An 18,280-nucleotide genomic window follows, 5' to 3' on the forward strand; every position below is an offset into this window, starting at 1 on the left:
AAAGAGGCCCTGCACCTCTGGCCGTGGGGAAGGGGCTAGCTCGTCCTGTTCTCGTCCCTGTTGCCCTCTCCGAGGACATGGGCATCCTGCCTGCCCCAGCACTCTGCTGACCTTGCCGGGCTCCAACTCTCAGTACTGAGACCCAGAGGCCTGAGAATGAGAGAGAGCGAGCTTGCCCCTGCCTGGGAGCTGCCCAGCAGCCCCTCGGGCATGGGGAAGTGCCCCAAGTTCCTGCGAAGGGCTGCTGAGTGCGGGAAGGGGCAGGAAGCAAGGCTTCCCTCCATTCTACCTTCGATGTCCAGGGCTGGCCCTTTTCCCAAAGTCCACAGCCACATGCCCCTCAGAAGCCACTGGGCTCTGCCACACCTTCTCTCTTGGTGAGTGTATGAGGCCCAGAGAGAACGGGCTTGCTCCAAGTGGTTCAGAGGGGTGCCACCAGGAGCTTTGGATTGGAGATGGGGGAGAAAGTGGCCCAGGCTGGGCCTTCGCTCGGCCGGATGCTGGCCCTGGCAGGAGGAATCTGTGACAGGGAACTTCGTGGGACATACAGGTGCTGGGATTGGGGCAGAGTGTGGAGGGGTGAGCGTCCTGTGCTGCTGTGCCTCAGAGGACCGTGCCTCCTGCAGGGATTGCCATCCCCTGTCCCCTTGCCCCATTTTCTTTCCCCATCTGGAGCCTGGGGTGGGCGTGGGGGGTGGCTGGTGCACAGGGAAGCTGTGATCTCTCCATTGCTCTTCCCTGATCCTCGGGGCCTCCAGTGGCCAGGAGCAACAGCCAGCCTCACTTCACTTAGTACCTCAGACCTTCCTAACAGCGGGTTCACCCACAGTCGGGGGCAGTGTGAGGTTTGCCTTTGTGATTTCTGAGGAGGTTTCTTTGCAAGGTGGACAGTATGCACAAGATGACAGATGGTTTATTCCACCTGCCAAAAACCCCATTCAGGCTCCCATGAGGCTCCGTTTTCTGTGGGTATGTGCCCACTCATACCCCTGGAGTTCTGGGGTCTTGATCCAGTTGGGGGAGCTCAGAGCCTCAGAGTCAGCCAGGCCTGTGCTGAGATCCTGTCACCTTCATAAACTGGCTGTAAAAATCCCTTAAACAGTCGAAGCCTCAGTTCACCATCTGTAAAGTGGGGCTGATAAGAATTCCTGCTCCCTAGGGCTGTGGCAGGCTTGAACCAGTCAGTGGGGCTTGCATGGATAATAAATGTGCAGGCTTTGTGAGCCGTGCTTATCAGGGATATTAGCAATGCGTATGTGAGTGGTACTCACAATAACAGCACTGATTCATGGTTGCAGCCATTCTCTCACTCAGACACCCCCCCCCGCCCCCCGTCAGAGGGAGGGCGTCGTGAGTTCCAGATGTTCTGTTGGTGGGGAATGGTGTCAGCCAGCCGAGGGCCTGGAAGCTCCCATTGGCCAGGCAGTGTCTAAGGAACTGTCAGATGAGCTGTGAGGAGCCCAGGCTGTCCCACCAGCCTGGATGTGAGCTATCCTCAGTGCCACTGGGGGCCGGAAGGGGACTGTTGCCCCAGCTCTGCTCCAAGTCTGCGTGTGTGCAGTCAGAGGGGTCTCTTGTCCTCTCTGAGCCTCCGTGGTTCTCATCTGTAATAGACCAGAGTTATGGTGCCCTGGGGATTGTTAGGAACTAATGGATCTGGGTTCTGGGGATGCAGCCTTCTAGAAATACATGCAGCAGTCAAAAAGCCTTCCTCTCTGCCCTGGGTCCCCCATCAGTCCCTTTCCCTTGATGACTTCATGGAAGAGTCACCTCAGTCACTTTTCCTGAGCAGTAATGGAGCAGGAAGCTCGCCCCTTGATCCATGGACAAGGGGGCTGAGCCCGGGGTGGTGGCATGGCTGTCCTGACCACCAGGGCAAATCAGTGGGCAGCAGGGCATGGGCCTGGCCAGAGGCCAGGCTAGCCTCAGTGTGACAGACCCTGGGTGGCAGAAAAGCAGTCCTCATCCTGTCTGCTTAATTAGGATTCCTCCTTCCCTGGTGACCTACGGGATATCAGAGATGAAGAAGCTGCCTGCCATCCACGAGCCTTGCTTCGGCAAGTGTGCGAGAGCTTGGAGCTGCTGGGACGGCCCCGAGGGCCATCAAGGGGATCTCATGTTGGCTTTGGGACCTGGACCCTGTAGGGCTGGGCTGGGGGTGGGGTCTGCATCTGAAGGGCTATGGTGCCTGACACTCCATGTTTAACACAGTGGGGTCCCAGTCCAGAAGGTCCATAAAGCTCCTGAAATTATGGGCAAGATTATGTGTTTGGTGCTTCTTCCTGGAGTGCTGAAATACGGTTCTCAAGGGGATCTGCGTTCCCAAAGTGTTCAAAGGCTCGCCCCTGTGGCTCTCCCTGGAGCCTTGCTGGTGGAGGGTGTTGGTGGGCCCCGGCAGGCAGCATTCCTGATGTGCTGGTGACATAAAGGTCCTCCTTGTCCCTCTGTGTCTCCTGGCTCCTAGCACATTCCTTGTAGGAGCAGAGACTCCCTTACACACTTGATTTTTCTCCACAGCCTTGTCACTCCCTTAAGATACTGGGTATCTCAGTTTCTTTATCATTAGTTTGTGGTTTGTCTCCCCCAGCTGCGGGTCACATGAGGGCAGGGACTTTGTCTTGGTCACGTTAGCACCCTGTGCCTAGAACAGTGCCTGGCACCAGGCAGCAGCTCGGGGAGGATTTGTTAAATTCATGAGGGAACCTGCTGACCAAGAGGGAGAACTGGAGCCTTCTCCTGTCCCCTCTGCTCCACCTCCTGCTGGCGAACCTGAGGCCAGGTCCTGTGAGAGCTACTGCCTGGATGGGCACCGAGCAGGGGGCCCGGAGCAGCAGGGGTGGGGGCTGCTGCAGAGAGCACAGAGGCTGGAGGTGGGGTGTGCTCGGTGTCATCAGGGTAAGTGGGTGGAGCCGAGTGAGTGAGGAGTGGTGGCAGTGGAGGTGGGGGGCCAGTGGGCTCTTTACCCAGCTGTACATTATCATTGTAATCACCTGGGAACTTTAAAAAATACCCGCTGTGCCCACCCTGGGGCATCGAACTCTAAATCTCTGGGTGAAACCCAGGCACTGGGATTTTTAGGAGTTTCTTGGGGGACTCTCTGTCCTGGGTCCCCCATCAGTGCCTTTCTCTGGGTGACTTCATGGGGGAGTCACTGCAGCCACTTCTCCTGAGCAGTGTTCAGTGTCATCAGGGGTGAGCAAACTCTGAAGCCAGAGTTGGGAGTTGGGCGCAAGGCCTTCGAGGACAGGGGCTCTGGGTCAGCAGCAGCAGCAGCCCAGGAGCTTGGTAGAAATGCATCTTCAGGCCCCTGCCCCAAACCTGCGGGCTCAGAAAGTCTGGGCTTGGGCCCAGCGGCTTCTCTCTTCCCCAGCTCCAGGTGCTAGGGACATACTCAAGCCTGAAGACTACTGCCCTGGCCAGGGGTGGACCTCCGCAAGGACATTGGCTTTTACTGTAGGAGAAACCTGGAGCCATCGGAAGGTCCTGACAAGAGGAGTGAAGTGGCTTTGCATTTCCGCAGGGTCCCACTGGCTGCTGTGTTGAGAGCAGACTTGGGGTGCGAGGCACCAGGGGAAGCAGATCCTATGAGAGGCATTTGCAGCCATTTAGGAGGGAGACAGCATTGGGGTTGGGGGAAGTCGCCAGTTCCAGATGCATTTCCCGGGGAGAGCTGTTGGTTTGCAGTGGGGCATGAGAGGAAGGGAGGAGTCTGGAAGACTGGCCTGAGCACCTAGAAGGTGCAGTGGCCATCTATTGAGATGGGGAAGCCTGGGGCGGGGTGCAGGTTTGTGGGAAGCTCAGCAGCTCCATTTGGACCTGGTAAGTTTGGGATGTATTTTCTATCACTGCTGTGACAGATTCCCACAGATGTCATGCCTGAAACCAAAACAAATTTACTGTCGTATAGCTCTGTGGCTCAGAGGTCTGCAGGGACCTCCCTGGCTCATGCCTGTAATCCCTGCACTTTGAGAGGCTGAGGCGGGAGGGTCACGGGAGGCCAGGAGTTCCAGACCAACCTCATCAACATAGCAAGACCCTGTCTCTACAAAACAAAAAAAGATCCAAGTGGAGCCATGAAGGAGGTGTTGGGGTGTACGTGTCAGGAATTTATGGGAGTAGTCTGGCTGAGAAAGAAGTTTACAGGCCACTGGCTAATGTAGGGATATAGCACTGTGAGACTGGGGGAGTCACCAGAGAAGAGGGTGGGACAGGCCAGGTGCGGTGGATCAGGCCTATAATCCCAGCACTTTGGGAGGCCGAGGTGGGCAGATCACTTGAGGTCAGGAGTTCAAGACCAGCCTGGCCAACATGGTAAAACCCCGTCTCTACTAAAAATACAAAAATTAGCCGGGCATGGTGGCGGGCGTCTGTAATTTCAGCTACTTGGGAGGCTGAGGCAAGAGAATCACTTGAACCCGGATTGCAGTTTGCCAAGATCACGCCACTGCACTCCAGCCTGGGCAACAGAGCAAGACTCTGTCTCAAAACAAACAAGAAGTGGGTAGGACAGAAAGGGGACCAGATTCAAGGGCCCAACGCTGGGGCCCTCCAGCATTTGTTAGCAGGTCAGGGAGAAAGAGCAGGGTCAGGAACACTGGAGAGCTGTGTCCTGGAGGCCAGGGGAGGAAGGGTAGCTGGGGAGGGCGGGAGTGACCCTGGGGTCAGAGGCTGCTGACGAGCTGGTTGTGGACCCCGAATATCCAGGCTCCAGGTCACCTGAGAACAAGACCCAGCACTGGACTTAGCAGCCCCTCCTGGAATCTCCATGCTCCCCGACCAGCCTTCCCCCCAGCCCTCCCTCTCCAGCCCTCTCTCCCTCCCTACCTCTCGAAGGAGTCTCACAGTGCTGTGTCCCCACATTTGCCAGTGGCCTGTAAACTTCCTCTGCCCTCCCTCCCCTGCCATTTCCCCTAGTCCTCCCTCCCTTGCCTTTCCCCCAAGCCCTTCCTCCCCTGCCTTCCAGTTCAGGGACATCCTGTTGCCAGTTAGGGGCTGGCCAGGGGGCCAGCCAGGGCCCTGACCCACTGGCAATGCCGGACCTTCCTTGGTCATCACAACTGGTGACCAGACATGTCCAGGAGGGAGACAGGAAGGCCAGATGCTTTCCTGTGTGGAGCTGTTAACAGCCTGGTCACCCTGCAGGAGGCCTCCAGTCCATGGCTGAAGAGGGTGTGCAGCTGTCAGGTTGTTGCTTCAGTGATTTGGGGGTTCCCAGGCATCTGCCCTCTAAACCTGGCACTCTATCCCAATGCCTATAGTCCCACCATTAGTCATATGGGTTAGCGAGCAAACACTGAGAGTGTGTGTTGGGGTGGGGGGCTGTAAGGGCCTCCCAGCTGGGCAGGATTGGATTCTGGCTGGGGCAGGAGTGTCTCCTAGTGGGAGGATTGAGCCCTATGCACAAAGTGAGTGAGTTGCCAAGACTGTACAGGAGGCAAGGCCCTGGGAAGAGAAAGAGATGCTTTCCATGCAGAGAACCTGGGTGGGGGCCTCTCCCAGCACTCCCCACACAACTGATCCCAGAGGAAGAGCAGCTGACACCAGGCCCCTCATCGGATGTGGCTGTGTGGTCCAGTTCAGCTCCCCCATGAAGGGCCTTCTGGGATCAGATCGGATTCAGAGGCCAGAGCGCGAGGCAGCCAGCATTGGGCTGGAGCCGGGCATCCTGACCCGCAGGCCCTGCCTGGTCGAGCACACTGGGTTTCCCTCCGTTCCAGCCCGGTTTGGCCACCTGCTTACCAGGTGACTTCTCTACGTTTAACCTCCTTGAGCTTCACCTTCCTCATCTGTAGAATGGGGATAATAATACCTCCCAGTATCCACTTTAGCCAGAGGGGGTGCTGAGCCAAAAACACTTTGGAAAAGTTGAAAGAGGAACTCAGATCTCAGAAATTCAGAAGGGGAGGGCAAGCAGAAGTGGGTGCAGGCGGGCGAGCCTGGGTGCTGTTGCGAGGCTGATGCAGCCCGACCCAGAGCTTTGTGACCACATCTGTGGCATGAGGCTCGGCTTTGGCTGCGGCTTCTCTTAGCTCGGCTCAGATTTCCACACGGCTCTCAACCAAGGGCAGTTTTACCCTGCAGGGACGTTTGGCAACGTCGAGAGACATTTTTGGTTGTCACAGTTGGGGAGGTGCTACTGGCATCTGGGGGTTACAGGCCAGGGGTGCTGCTCACCATCTGGCAGTGCACAGGACGGCCCCAGCACAGAGAGGTGTCTGACCCCATGTCAGTGGCACGGAAGTGGAGGATGCTGTTCTAAAAGCAGTGCTGGCCGAGGACTGGGAGTGCCACTTCACGTGGACAAGTCACTTCTGTCTGAGTGGTTTCCTCACCTGTAAGTGAGGGGTGGGGAGCAGAGGTACCATCTCCCCTGGGAACTCTCCCGGACCTTGCCCTCTCCCTGCCCCCTCAGGTTGTGTTAGATAACACTGCCCTCAGATTTTCTGTGTTCCTGTCCTGCCCTGCCATGGGCTCTTCTCAGAGCAGCAGGGGCGTGTGTCTCTATACTTAGGGCCTCACGGTATGCCCAACACTGCCTGGCAAGCATCGGGTGTTCAGTAAATGTAAGTTATATGCCACCATAGCACGCACTTATTGGACATGCGTTTTATGCCAGGCAGCACAGGTAACATGGAGTCTTGGCCCTACCTTTACAGTAGCTCTGGGACGGTGCCCTCTGCAGGGAGGGTCCCTCTGGCTGGGGCGGAGGCAGGGAGACTGGGTTGTGGGTCTGGGGACAGCAGAGGTGTGAGGTGTGATGGGGAAGAGGAGAATGTCTAGAACCAGGATGTGCAGGGTCTGGCCCACTGCCCTTGCTCCTCCATCCTGGGAGGTGACCCCAAACACTGCACATGCCCTCTGCGCACTTGCCCTGAAAGCGTCTCTAACTGCGGGGCCAAGGGGACTACCAGGGGCCTGGTCTTACAAAGGTGACCTTGGGGCCTGTTGGGTCTGCAGCTACCTCTTGGCTTGGAGCAGGCCCAAGGGGCCATTGTGATCCTTCCTGCTCGTTCTCTTGCTCTCCTTTCCCCCAACACCCTCTCCCACCTTTGCTGGGGCCAGTGGTGATGCTGTGGGTGTGCTGGGTGCTCTGTTCCCTGGCTGGGTCTGGTGCCCTTTGTAAACTGCCAGTCCCTCAGGTCTTGTGCAGCTCCTTGAGCAGGCTTTCCAGATCTGGGATGCTGATGACAGTGATAGGAACCAGCCTCTAGAGAATGCTCTCTCTTTGGGGGCACTTTATGCATATCCCAATCTTGTCCTCATGAGCAGGCTCGTTTCATCGACGAGGAAACTGAGGGCCGGGGAGCGGCAGAGTCAGGACCTTTCTGAACACCGGCACACCTGCCCTGAATGCATCCACAGCTGCAGGGCCTTGGGGACCACCGGAGATGGTTGTGTGTGTCCCAGCCTCTTACAGGACAGGTGTCAGGAGCCCAAAGTGGAGGCAGCTGCCCTGGTCCAAGTCCACAGTGAGAGGACCCACTGCCCTGAGCTGGTGTGGAGACTGCATGTGTGAGTGTGCACAGAGCTTGTAAGGCAGCGTCTGGCATGGAGGAGGCGCTTTCTTTCTTTTTTAATTATTATTATTATTATACTTTAAGCTGTAGGGTACATGTGCACAATGTGCAGGTTTGATACATAGGTATACATGTGTCATGTTGGTTTGCTGCACTCATCAACTCATCATTTACATTAGGTATTTCGCCTAATGCTATCCCTCCTCCAGCCCCCCAGCCTCCAACAGGCCCTGATGTGTAATGTTCCCCGCCCTGTGTCCAAGTGATCTCATTGTTCAGTTCCCACCTGTGAGTGAGAACATGCGGTGTTTGGTTTTCTGTCCTTGTGATAGTTTGCTGAGAACGATGGTTTCCAGCTTCATCCATGTCCCTGCAAAGGACATGAACTCATCCTTTTTTATGGCTGCATAGTATTCCATGGTGTATATGTGCCACATTTTCTTAATCCAGTCTATCATTGATGGACATTTGGGTTGGTTCCGAGTCTTTGCTATTGTGAATAGTGCTGCTATAAACATACGTGTGCATGTGTCTTTACAGCAGCATGATTTATAATCCTTTGGGTATATAACCAGTAATGGGATTGCTGGGTCAAATGGTAATTCTAGTTCTAGATCCCTGAGGAATCACCACACTGTCTTCCACAATGTTTGAACTAATTTACACTCCTACCAACAGTGTAAAGGCGTTCCTATTTCTCCACATCCTCTCTAGCATCTGTGGTTTCCTGACTTTTTAATGATCGCCATTCTAACTGGCATGAGATGGTATCTCATTGGGGTTTTGATTTGCGTTTCTCTGATGACCAGTGATGATGAGCATTTTTTCGTGTGTCTGTTGGCTGCATAGATGTCTGCTTTTGAGAAGTGTCTGTTCATATCCTTTGCCCACTTTTTGATGGGGTTGTTTGTTTTTTTTTCTTGTAAATTTGTTTGGGTTCATTGTAGATTCTGGATATCAGCCCTTTGCCCGATGGGTAGATTGCAAAAAATTTCTCCCATTCTGTAGGTTGTCTGTTCACTCTGATGGTAGTTTATTTTGTCGTGCAGAAGCTCTTTAGTTTACTTAGATCCCATTTGTCTATTTTAACTTTTGTTGCTATTGCTTTTGGTGTTTTAGTCATGAAGTCCTCGCCCATGCCTATGTCCTGAATGGTATTGCCTAGGTTTTCTTCTAGGGTTTTTATGGTTTTAGGTCTAACATTTAAGTCTTTAATCCATCTTGAATTAATTTTTGTATAAGGTGTCAGGAGGGGATCCAGTTTCAGCTTTCTACATATGGCTAGCCAGTTTTCCCAGCACCATTTATTAAATAGGGAATCGTTTCCCCATTTCTTGTTTTTGTCAGGTTTGTCAAAGATCAGATGGTTGTAGATGTGTGGTGTTATTTCTGAGGCCTCTGTTCTGTTCCATTGGTCTATATATCTATTTTGGTACCCGTACCATGCTGTTTTGGTTACTGTAGCCTTGTAGTATAGTTTGAAGTCAGGTAGCATGACGCCTAGGAGGAGGCACTTTTGGAGTGTACATTCGCTTTACTTCTTGCCCGAAATGACCCAGGCAACATTCCCCCACAGCTACACATCACTACCTGTGTCCTAGGAGTTAGTGGGAAGGGAAGATGCATGTGGCCCACACTTGGTTGTGTTGGGCTTTCTTCATCCCGTGCCCTGTAGGGTCAGGAGCCCAGAGGCTGCTGGCCCAGGGACTGCTGGGCCATGCTCGCCGGCGTGGGTGGCCTCTGCAGGAGACAGTGTGGGCTGGAGCTGGATGCTTGATGTTGCTCTAGGCTGGGAACCTGGGCAAGGCCCCTCCCTCCCCAGGTCAGCGGCTCTACTGTCACATACCTAGACACAGGTGGTAGCATCACAGCAGTCTCACCACAGACTTTCCAATAAGTCTTACAAGTCCAGTGCCCCTTGATGGGTAAAAGGGACAGCTCAGCTCAGATTCAAAGGGAGTCTTGCCCGAAAGGCCTCCCTTCACCCCATGGCAGTTCCTGGACCTTCTGTGGAACCCTATGGTTTAGTAGTGACCTGAGCAGCAGAGACTAAGTGAAGGCTGAGATCCCCGGCCTGGGACAGGGGTAGGGAGCCCCATTTCATGGTGTGCTGGATGCCCTGCCTGCCTCTTCCCCAAGCCCTCATGGACTGTCAGCCAGAGGCACCAGTGGGCAATTCCAGGGCTAACTGCGCCTCTGAGGAGCTGAGCTCCGGTCGTCTAGAGGCTGGACCCCTGGGGCGGTGGTTAGGGCTGCTTTCTTCCCTGGTCCCCACAGGCCTTATGGGGATTAGGCAGCCTTCCTGCCCAGTGCTCAGTCACTAAGGAGGGTATCATGTGAAGTCATGAGTGCAGGGCCACACCAAGGCTCTCAGTGGACCCAGGACTGCAGGAATTCCAGGGCTTCCCATCATTAAATTAAATTAGTATTGAAATGCAGTATCTATGTCAGGAAGGCCATGAGTGTTCCCCTTGGTGACCACATGTGTACTTTTGGAAATATCAGATCCAGTCACACCCCAGCCTGGTGCCCTGCCTTGCTGGCCTCGCCTTGCTGTGGCTGGAGCTGGAACTGGCTGGCTGTTGTCTGAGCCAGCTGTGTCCACCCCTGGCTTCTGTGTGTGTCAGGCACAGGCCGTGCGCAGTGTCACACAGGGGCATGAATGTGCTGCAGTGCACCAAGGGGACCTTGACCAGCAGCTTTGGGGAGTACTGGTGGGGGGAGCATCTGAATGGAGTGTGTTCAGGAGGGATGGGAGCCGGGGAACATGGCACCTCTTTGGAGTTTTGCCACAGAGGGGAACAGGATGGGTGACAGCTGTCAGGGGACATAGGCTCGAGAGGTTTTTAGAGAATCTTCCATTGCTTCTGCTTCTCTCCTATGTGGCAAGCTGCAGGAGGCCTATGAGGGGCTTTGCAGAGGTACTGGTGCAGCTCAGAGAGGTTTCACAGGCTTCACCCATGGGGTGGCGAAAAAGTGCCTCTTGCCCAGTACCTGGTGCATTTCAGCTTAGTGAATTAAAGATTTGGAGACACTTTGCTGAGCTTTTGCACAGAGAGGACTACATGGGGTATGGGACAGGACCTGGACTGAGACTTTTACACACTGGGAAGAAAGCCCTGCTTGTAGTCTGTCAGGCTGCTGTACAACTTTTAAACATCAAAAAGTCCTCATGCTTTTACTCCTTTGGCAAAATGCTTGTTGGATAGAGGAATTCAAACTTGATTGCAGCCCCCCTGGCTATCAACGGTGTATTAGCCTGTTTTCTGCTGCTATAACAGAATACCACAGAATGGGTAATTCTATTGTACAGAAATGTATTGGTTTACAGTTCTGGAAGCTTGGAAGTATAAGACGGAGGGGCTGGCATCTGGCGAGGGCCCTCTTGCTGTGTCATAACATGGCGGAAAGCATCACATGGCTGAAGGGCACAGGGAGCAAGAGAGAGTAAGAGGGGCAAAACTACTCTCATGGTAACAAACCCACTTCTGCAGTAAGGGCACTAGTTCATTCATGAGGGCAGAGCCCTCGTAAACTAAACATTTCTTAAAGGTCCCACCTCTTGCCAAGCATGATGCTGTGCACCTGTAGTCCTAGCTACGTGGAAGGCTGAGGTAGGAGGATCACTTGAGATCAGGAGTTGGACACCTGCCTGGGCAACACAGTCAGACCCCCCTTTCAAAAACCAAACAAATTTTTTTTTTTAAAAAAAGGTCCCATCTCTTAATACTGTTGCAGTGGCAACTAAATTTCAACATGAGTTTTGGAGGGGACAAACATTCAAACTGTAGCATTCTGCCCAGCCCACCCCTGGAAAATTCATGTCCTTCTCACATACAAAATATATTCATTCCATCCTGATAGCTCCCAAAGGTCTTAGCTCATTCCAGCAGCAACTCATAAGCCCAGAGTCTCATCTAAATCAGATATGGGTGAGACTCAAGGCATGATTCATCCTGAGGCAAATTCCTCTCCAGCTGTGAGCCTGTGAAATTTAAACAAGTTACATGCTTCCAGAATACAACGGTGAGACAGTTGTGGGATAGACATTTCCATTCAGGGAGAAACCGGCAAGAAAAAAGGGGGTAACTGGTCCCAAGTACGTCCAAAACCAACCATGAAGAGCAACATTAAATCTTGAGACTCGGGAATAATGTTCCTTGACTCCACATCACACACTGGGGCCCTGGGCACCCCCACCCCCATGGCTTTGGTGGGCTCGGCAGCCACAGGAGCTCTCCCAGGTTGATGTTGCTAGCCGGTCACGCTGGTAGCTCTGCAGTCTCAAGGGCAGCCCAGCCCCTGTGGCTCCACAAGGCATTGTCCTAGCAAGGACTCTCTGGAGTGGCTCTCCCTCTGCAACAGGTCTCTGCCTGGACCCCCAGTCTGTCTGATCCAGCCTTTGAAATCCAGGCAGAGGCAGCCACGCCTCCACTGCTCTTGAACTCTGTGTGCCTGCAGAATTAGCACCACATGGATGCTGCCAAGGCTTACTGCTTGCCCTCTGGAGCCGTGGCCTGAGCCACACCCAGGCCCACTTGAGCCACAGCTGGGGCAGCCAAGGAGCACTGTGGTGGAATGTGAGGAGCAGAGTCCCAAAGGTAGTCCAGGGCAGCAGGTCCTTGGAGGGGGCCCTTGGCCCATCCCCTAAAACCATTCTCCCTTCCTAGAGCTCTGGGCCTGTGATGAGAGGGGCAGCTTGGAATATCCTGAAATGCCTTCATGATAAATTCTGTCTTTAAGTCATTTCTTTCTTCTTTCATTTTACTATATGATATTAAAAGAAACCACACAGCACCTCAATATTTTGCTTAGAAATTTCTTCTGCTGGGTATCCCAGTTCATCACTCTTAAATTCTGCCTTCCATACTCCAGTCTGGGCAACAGTGTGAGACTCCGTCTCAAAAAAAAAAAAAAAAAAAATTCTGCCTTCCATAAACATAAAGCCACTGGGTGTGGACACAATTCAGCCAAGTTCCTTTTCACTATAAGGATGGGCTTTTCTCCAGTTTCCAATACCTTATTCCTCAATTCCCTCTGAGACCTCATCACCATCCATATTTCTGCCAACATTCTGATGACAGCCACTTTAATCTCCAGGAAGTTTCAGACTTTTCCTACAGCTCTTCTCATCTTCTGAGCCCTTAATGTTCTGTTCATGGCGACAGGCTTTTTTCTAGTCTGCTCTTCCAGACTCTTCCAGCCTCTACTCACTACCCAGTTCCAAAGCCACTTTCACATTTTTAAGTATTTGTTATAACAACACCCACTCTCAGTACCAGTTTTCTGTCTTAGGCTGTTTTGTGCAGAATACCACAAACAGGGTAATTTATAATGAACAGATATGTATTGGCTCGCAGTTCTGGAGGCTGGGAAGTCCAAGATCGAGGGCTTGGCATCTGGGGATGGCCTTCTTACTGAATCATCATTCCATGGCGAAGAACAGACAGACAGACAGAGAGAGAGAGAGCGAGAGACAGAGAGAGAGAGAGAGAAAGAGGGGGCAAAGCCACCACTGTGATAATGGTATTAGTCCATTCGTGAGGGTGGGGCCCTCATGGCCTGAACACTTCTTACAGGTTCCACCTCTTAATACTGTCACAGTGGTGACTAAATTTCAACATGAGTTTTGGAGGAGACAAACATTCAAACCACAGCAAATGGAGACTTTGATGGGGAGGAGGTGGCCCAGGACTAGCCCCTGGAGAAGGAGGAAGAGAGCCACGCTGGGGGAGAGGTAGAAAGGGAAATGGCTGAGTTCGTTGGCATCACAATTTTGCCCTGAGCAGTCTTCTACAAGTTAACATCTAAACACACAGAGCTGGAGCGCTGATCAATAGTAAAAAGCCCAAGTTTCCTATAGACAGTGCTCTAATGTTACGTTGAAAAGCCATGCAGCCATCTTCTTGCCTTTCTTCCATTTCTGGGTAATTTCTTCCATGTCTTGGTGGATGACACCAGCAGTCACCCTGTTTCCCAGGTCAGAAATGTGGAGTCATTCTGGACTCTGCCTGCCCCATCCTGGTCAAGTCAGCAGCTAGGAACTCTGGCTTCTTCATTCCTGACACCTCCCGCCAGTTCCCTTCACTCCATTCTCTTCACGTCACTGTGACACCCTGTGGCCAGAGTGACCATTCTGGAGTGGAAATCAGACAACCCTTTCTCTGCTTTGGACCCTTCGATAGCTCTCATGCCCACATGTGCCTTGGCTCACCTTAGACTCCATGCCCGGGTGCCCTTGACCCCAGTTCACCTGCTGTCACTGGACCTGAGTCTTGGAATATTATCTCTTTTTCTCTGATTCTCCTGCCCACTCTGTGCCCAACAGGTGTAAACATCAGGGAATGCTGGGGCCTGGGACAATCTGCAGGAGGCAGGCTCTGCCTAGAGACATTAAAATTAAAGCCCACGCCAGTACTCCATAAACTCACCCTAGGAAACATAGCTGGGAGGATCCTACCCAGCCTGCATTCCAGAGCACCTCCCATGCACAGGCACTGTTCCAGGGCTGGGTACGGCAGCGAGGAGACCCGAATCCCTGCTGCGGTCACCCTGTAGAGGGAGAGACCAACAATATACCAGATGTCTTAGTCTTCTCTGGCTGCCATAACAAAATAACACAGACTGAAGGACTTAAACAACAGAAATGTATTTTCTCCCAGCTCTGGAAAGAAAGTCTGAGAAGAGGGTGCCAGCAGGGTCAGTTTCTGGTGAGGGCTGTCTTCCTGGTGTGCTGACGGCTGCCTTCTTGCTCTGTCTTCATGTGGCCTTTTGCTGCATGCACGTGGAGGCAGACATAGCTGTCTCTCCTACCCTTTTTTTTTTCTTTTTTTTTTTGAGATGGAGTCTTGCTCTGTCACCCAGGCTGGAGCGCAGTGGTGTGATCTCAGCTCACTGCAAGCTCCGCCTCCTGGGTTCAAGCGATTCTCCTGCCTCAGCCTCCCGAGTAGCTGGGATTACAGGCATGCACCACTATGCCCGGCTAATTTTGTATTTTTAGTAGAGACAGGGTTTCTCCATGTTGGTCAGGCCGGTCTCGAACTCCCGACCTCAGGTGATCCGCCCACCTCGGCCTCCCAAAGTGCTGGGATTACAGGCATGAGCCACCACACCCGGCCTCTCTTACTCTTCATATAAGGCTACCAATCTTATGGGATAAGGGCCCAACCTTGTGACCCCACGTAACCTTGGTTACCTCCTAAGGACCCTATCTCCAAATACAGTCACACTGGGGGTTAAGACTTCAACGATGAAGTTGAGGGGACACAGTTCAATCCTATGCACTAGTAAACAGAAATCTGCATATGCACCCCTCGCATGCACAGTTCACGGTAGGGTTTGCGCTCCTATGAGAATTTAATGCCGCTGCTCATCTGACAGGAGGTGAAGCTCAGGCAGGAATGCGAGCAGTGGGGACCAGCTGTAGATACAGATGAAGCTTCACTTGCTCACCTGCCGCCCACCTCCTGCTGTGCAGCCCAGTTCCTAACAGACCACCGACTAGTACTGGTCCTCGGCCCAGGGAGTTGAGGACCCCTGCACTAGAGTGTTTCAGAATTACCATTGATCTACATATTTGCCAAAAAAACTTATTTTTTCATTATTATTATCTCTTAGCAATCTAGGAGGTACTGCATTCTCATGCTAATTTACGTGTTCCTGTTTATTACTGAAATTGAGCCATCTTTTGGGTTTGTATCCATCTTTCTGGTTTCCCTTTCTGCTGATACCTGCTCTAGAGATTCTTCTTTCATCATTTGTGAACACTCTACGCTATCTTCTTCTATTCTGTTGAGTGTCTCACTCTGACCTTTGTTGAACAGAAATCTTTAATTTTGATGTAATCAGATTCATCCTTTTTTTTCCTTGTGGTTTGAGCTTTTGGAGTTTTAAGAAATCTGTCCAGAATCTTAGGTTAACAGGAGGCTCTTTTACATTTTATTATAGCTCTATCATTTACCATTCACATTGGGGTCTCTAATGCACCTGGAACCTACATTTGCATGTGGGATATGGAAGGAGTCTAGATTGTTTTCTTTATGTGGTGATCCAGTTTTCCTAACACCATCTACTAAACACTCTGACCTTTTTTCCCATAGCTTTCATGAAATTCCCTCCTACACGTCACTCTCTTTTTTGAGCTCTCTGGTCTGTTTGTTGGTACGTTTGTCTGTTCTTGTACCAACCATACAATTTTTATTACAATGACTATACAACATGTACTAGTGTCTGAGAGAAACTCCTCCCTTGTTATTTTTCTTTTTAGGTTTTTATGAATTGTTTGTTTCTCCATATACATTTCAGTGTGTGTTTATCAAGCTTTCCAAAAAAAAAATCCAACTGAATTTTTTATTGGAATTGCACTGAATTTACTTACAGATTACTTTGGGGAGAAATGACATTAATATGTGGCCATAAGATGGAATGTCTCATGTATTCAGAATATCTTTCCATGTAGAGGTCCTTTGAGTTTTTATTACTACTTAGAGATACTCTTTAGTTTTATTGCTATTGTGAGTGTTTATCTTGGTATTTTTAATTATATTTTCTAGATGGTTATTACTGGTGTAGAGAACTGCTATTGATTTTTGTATCGATTAATCTTATATCTGGCAACCTTACTGAACTCTCCTGTCTGTTGATTCTTTTAGTCCCTCTGGGGACCCTATCATCTAAATAATGTTAATTTTATCCTTTACTTCTCAATTCGTACACTATTTATTTCTTTTCTAAATTTCCTAAGAGCATTGGCAGGACATTGATTAGTGGGGACTGTGGCCAAACTTGTCCCAAATATTAAAGGGAATGTATCTAAGCTTTTGCCATTAAATCCAATATTTTCTGTAATTTTTTTTGTAAATATGTGATTTGCAAATATAAGCAAATCACGTTAAAGAACTTCCCTTTGACTCCTGGTTTGCTGAGAGTTTTTTTTGGTCATCGTTTATTTTAATTATAAATAGACATGAAAGCTTATCAAATGCCCTTTCTGCATTAAGATTTTCATGTGATTTTTCCTCTTTATGTTCTTCCAGATAAAATCTTCTTGATCATGATGTACTTAAAAAAATGCCATTGGCTTCATTTAGCTAACATTTGGTTTAGGGTTTTGCATCTGTGTTCAAAAGTGGCATTAGGCATACGTTGTTCACTCTCACTCTTGCGTTTTCTGATATGGTTTGGATGTTTGTCCCCCCCCACATCTCATGTTGAAATGAATCCCCAATGTTGGAGGTGGGGACTAGTGGGAAGTATTGAATCACGGGCGCGGATCCCTCCTGAATGGCCCAGCACCATGCTCATGGTAATGAGTGAGTTCTCTCCATGAGTTCATGTGAAATCTGACTTTTATACAATTTATATAATACATTAAAGAGCCTGGCACCTCCTCCCTTGTGTCTCTTGCTTCCATTCTTGCCACGTGACCTGCTTGCTCCCTCTTCACCCTCCATCACGATTGGAAGCTTCCTGAGGCCCTCACCAGAGGCAGATGCCAGCACTGTGCTTTGTGTACATCCTGCAGAACCACAAGTGAAATAAACGTCTTTTCTTTATAAATAATGCAGTCTTGAGGATCACTTGAGCCCAGGAGTTTGAGACCAGCCTGGGCAACATGACAAAACCCTGTCTCTATTATAAATAAAAAAAATTAGCTGGTTATAGTGGTGTGTGCCTGTAGTCTCAGCTACTTGGGAGACTGAGGTGGGAGGATCACCTGAGCCTGGAAGGCTGCAGTGAGCTGTGATTGCACCACTGCACTCCAGCCTGGACAACAGAGTGAGACCCTGTCTCAAAAAAATAAAAAATTTACCTAGTCTCAGGTATTCCTTTCTAGCAATGCAAGAATGGATTAACACCTTGTCCTTATGTCTTTTTTTTTTTTTTTTTTTTTGAGACAGAGTCTCTCTCTGTTGCCCAGGCTGGATTACGGTGACATGATCTCAGCTCACTGCAGCCTCCGCCTTCAGGGTTCAAGCAATTCTCCTGCCTCAGCTTCCCAAGTAGCTGGGATTACAGGCGTGCACCACTGTGCCCAGATAATTTTTGTATTTTTAGTAGAGACGGGGTTTCGCCATGTTGGCCAGGCTGGTCTTGAACTCCTGGCCTCAGGTCATCCACCCGCCTCGGCCTCCCAAAGTGCTGGGATTACAGGCATGAGCCACCGCACTTGGCCCCTTATGTCATTTTTTAAATCAAAATTACAATATTGACCACATGGAGATCATCCACGATCCTTGTAAGAGCAGTTTTCTTGGAGTGGAGTAAGTTTGAGGGAGAACAGGAGGAGAGGAAGTGAAGGCAGGGAGTTACAGGAGGTGAGAAAAAGGCTTAGGGGAAAATATGGTCAAGGAGTTTTGTTGTTTTTAATGGAAGAAATAGCAGCAGGTTTGGAGTTTCTGTCTTATTTTGTTTCTTGGCCCTCGGGAAAGAGGATTAAGTTCATCCTACTCTGTAGTTCATGGGATATCATCAGCCTTGACCCATTTACAGCCTCTCATTTGTTTTTCCTCTTTTACACCCCTATTTCCCTCCTCCCCATAGCTAAGTATTCTCATTTTTTCTAATTTAAATTAATGTAAAATTTACCTTTTTGGCTGTCTAGTTCTATGAATCTCGATACATGCATAGTCATGTAACCATTACCACAATCAAGATGTGGAACAATTTATTTTAATTTAATTTAATTTTAATTTTTATTTACTTACTTAGTTTTTGGAGATGGGGTCTCTGTCGCCCAGACTGGAGTGCAGTAGTGTGATCCT

At 50.6% G+C, this 18,280-nt stretch overlaps 1 protein-coding gene across 2 annotated transcripts in view; it reads left to right on the plus strand.

Annotated features, from left to right (window-relative positions):
• Positions 1 to 18,280, plus strand: part of KCNIP3 (potassium voltage-gated channel interacting protein 3) — an 88,731-nt gene that overhangs the window by 50,424 nt on the left and 20,027 nt on the right. The gene's annotated exons all lie outside the window — the stretch shown is intronic.

Source organism: Homo sapiens, chromosome 2 (genome assembly GCF_000001405.40).
Source record: "Homo sapiens chromosome 2, GRCh38.p14 Primary Assembly".
NCBI lineage: Eukaryota > Metazoa > Chordata > Mammalia > Primates > Hominidae > Homo > Homo sapiens.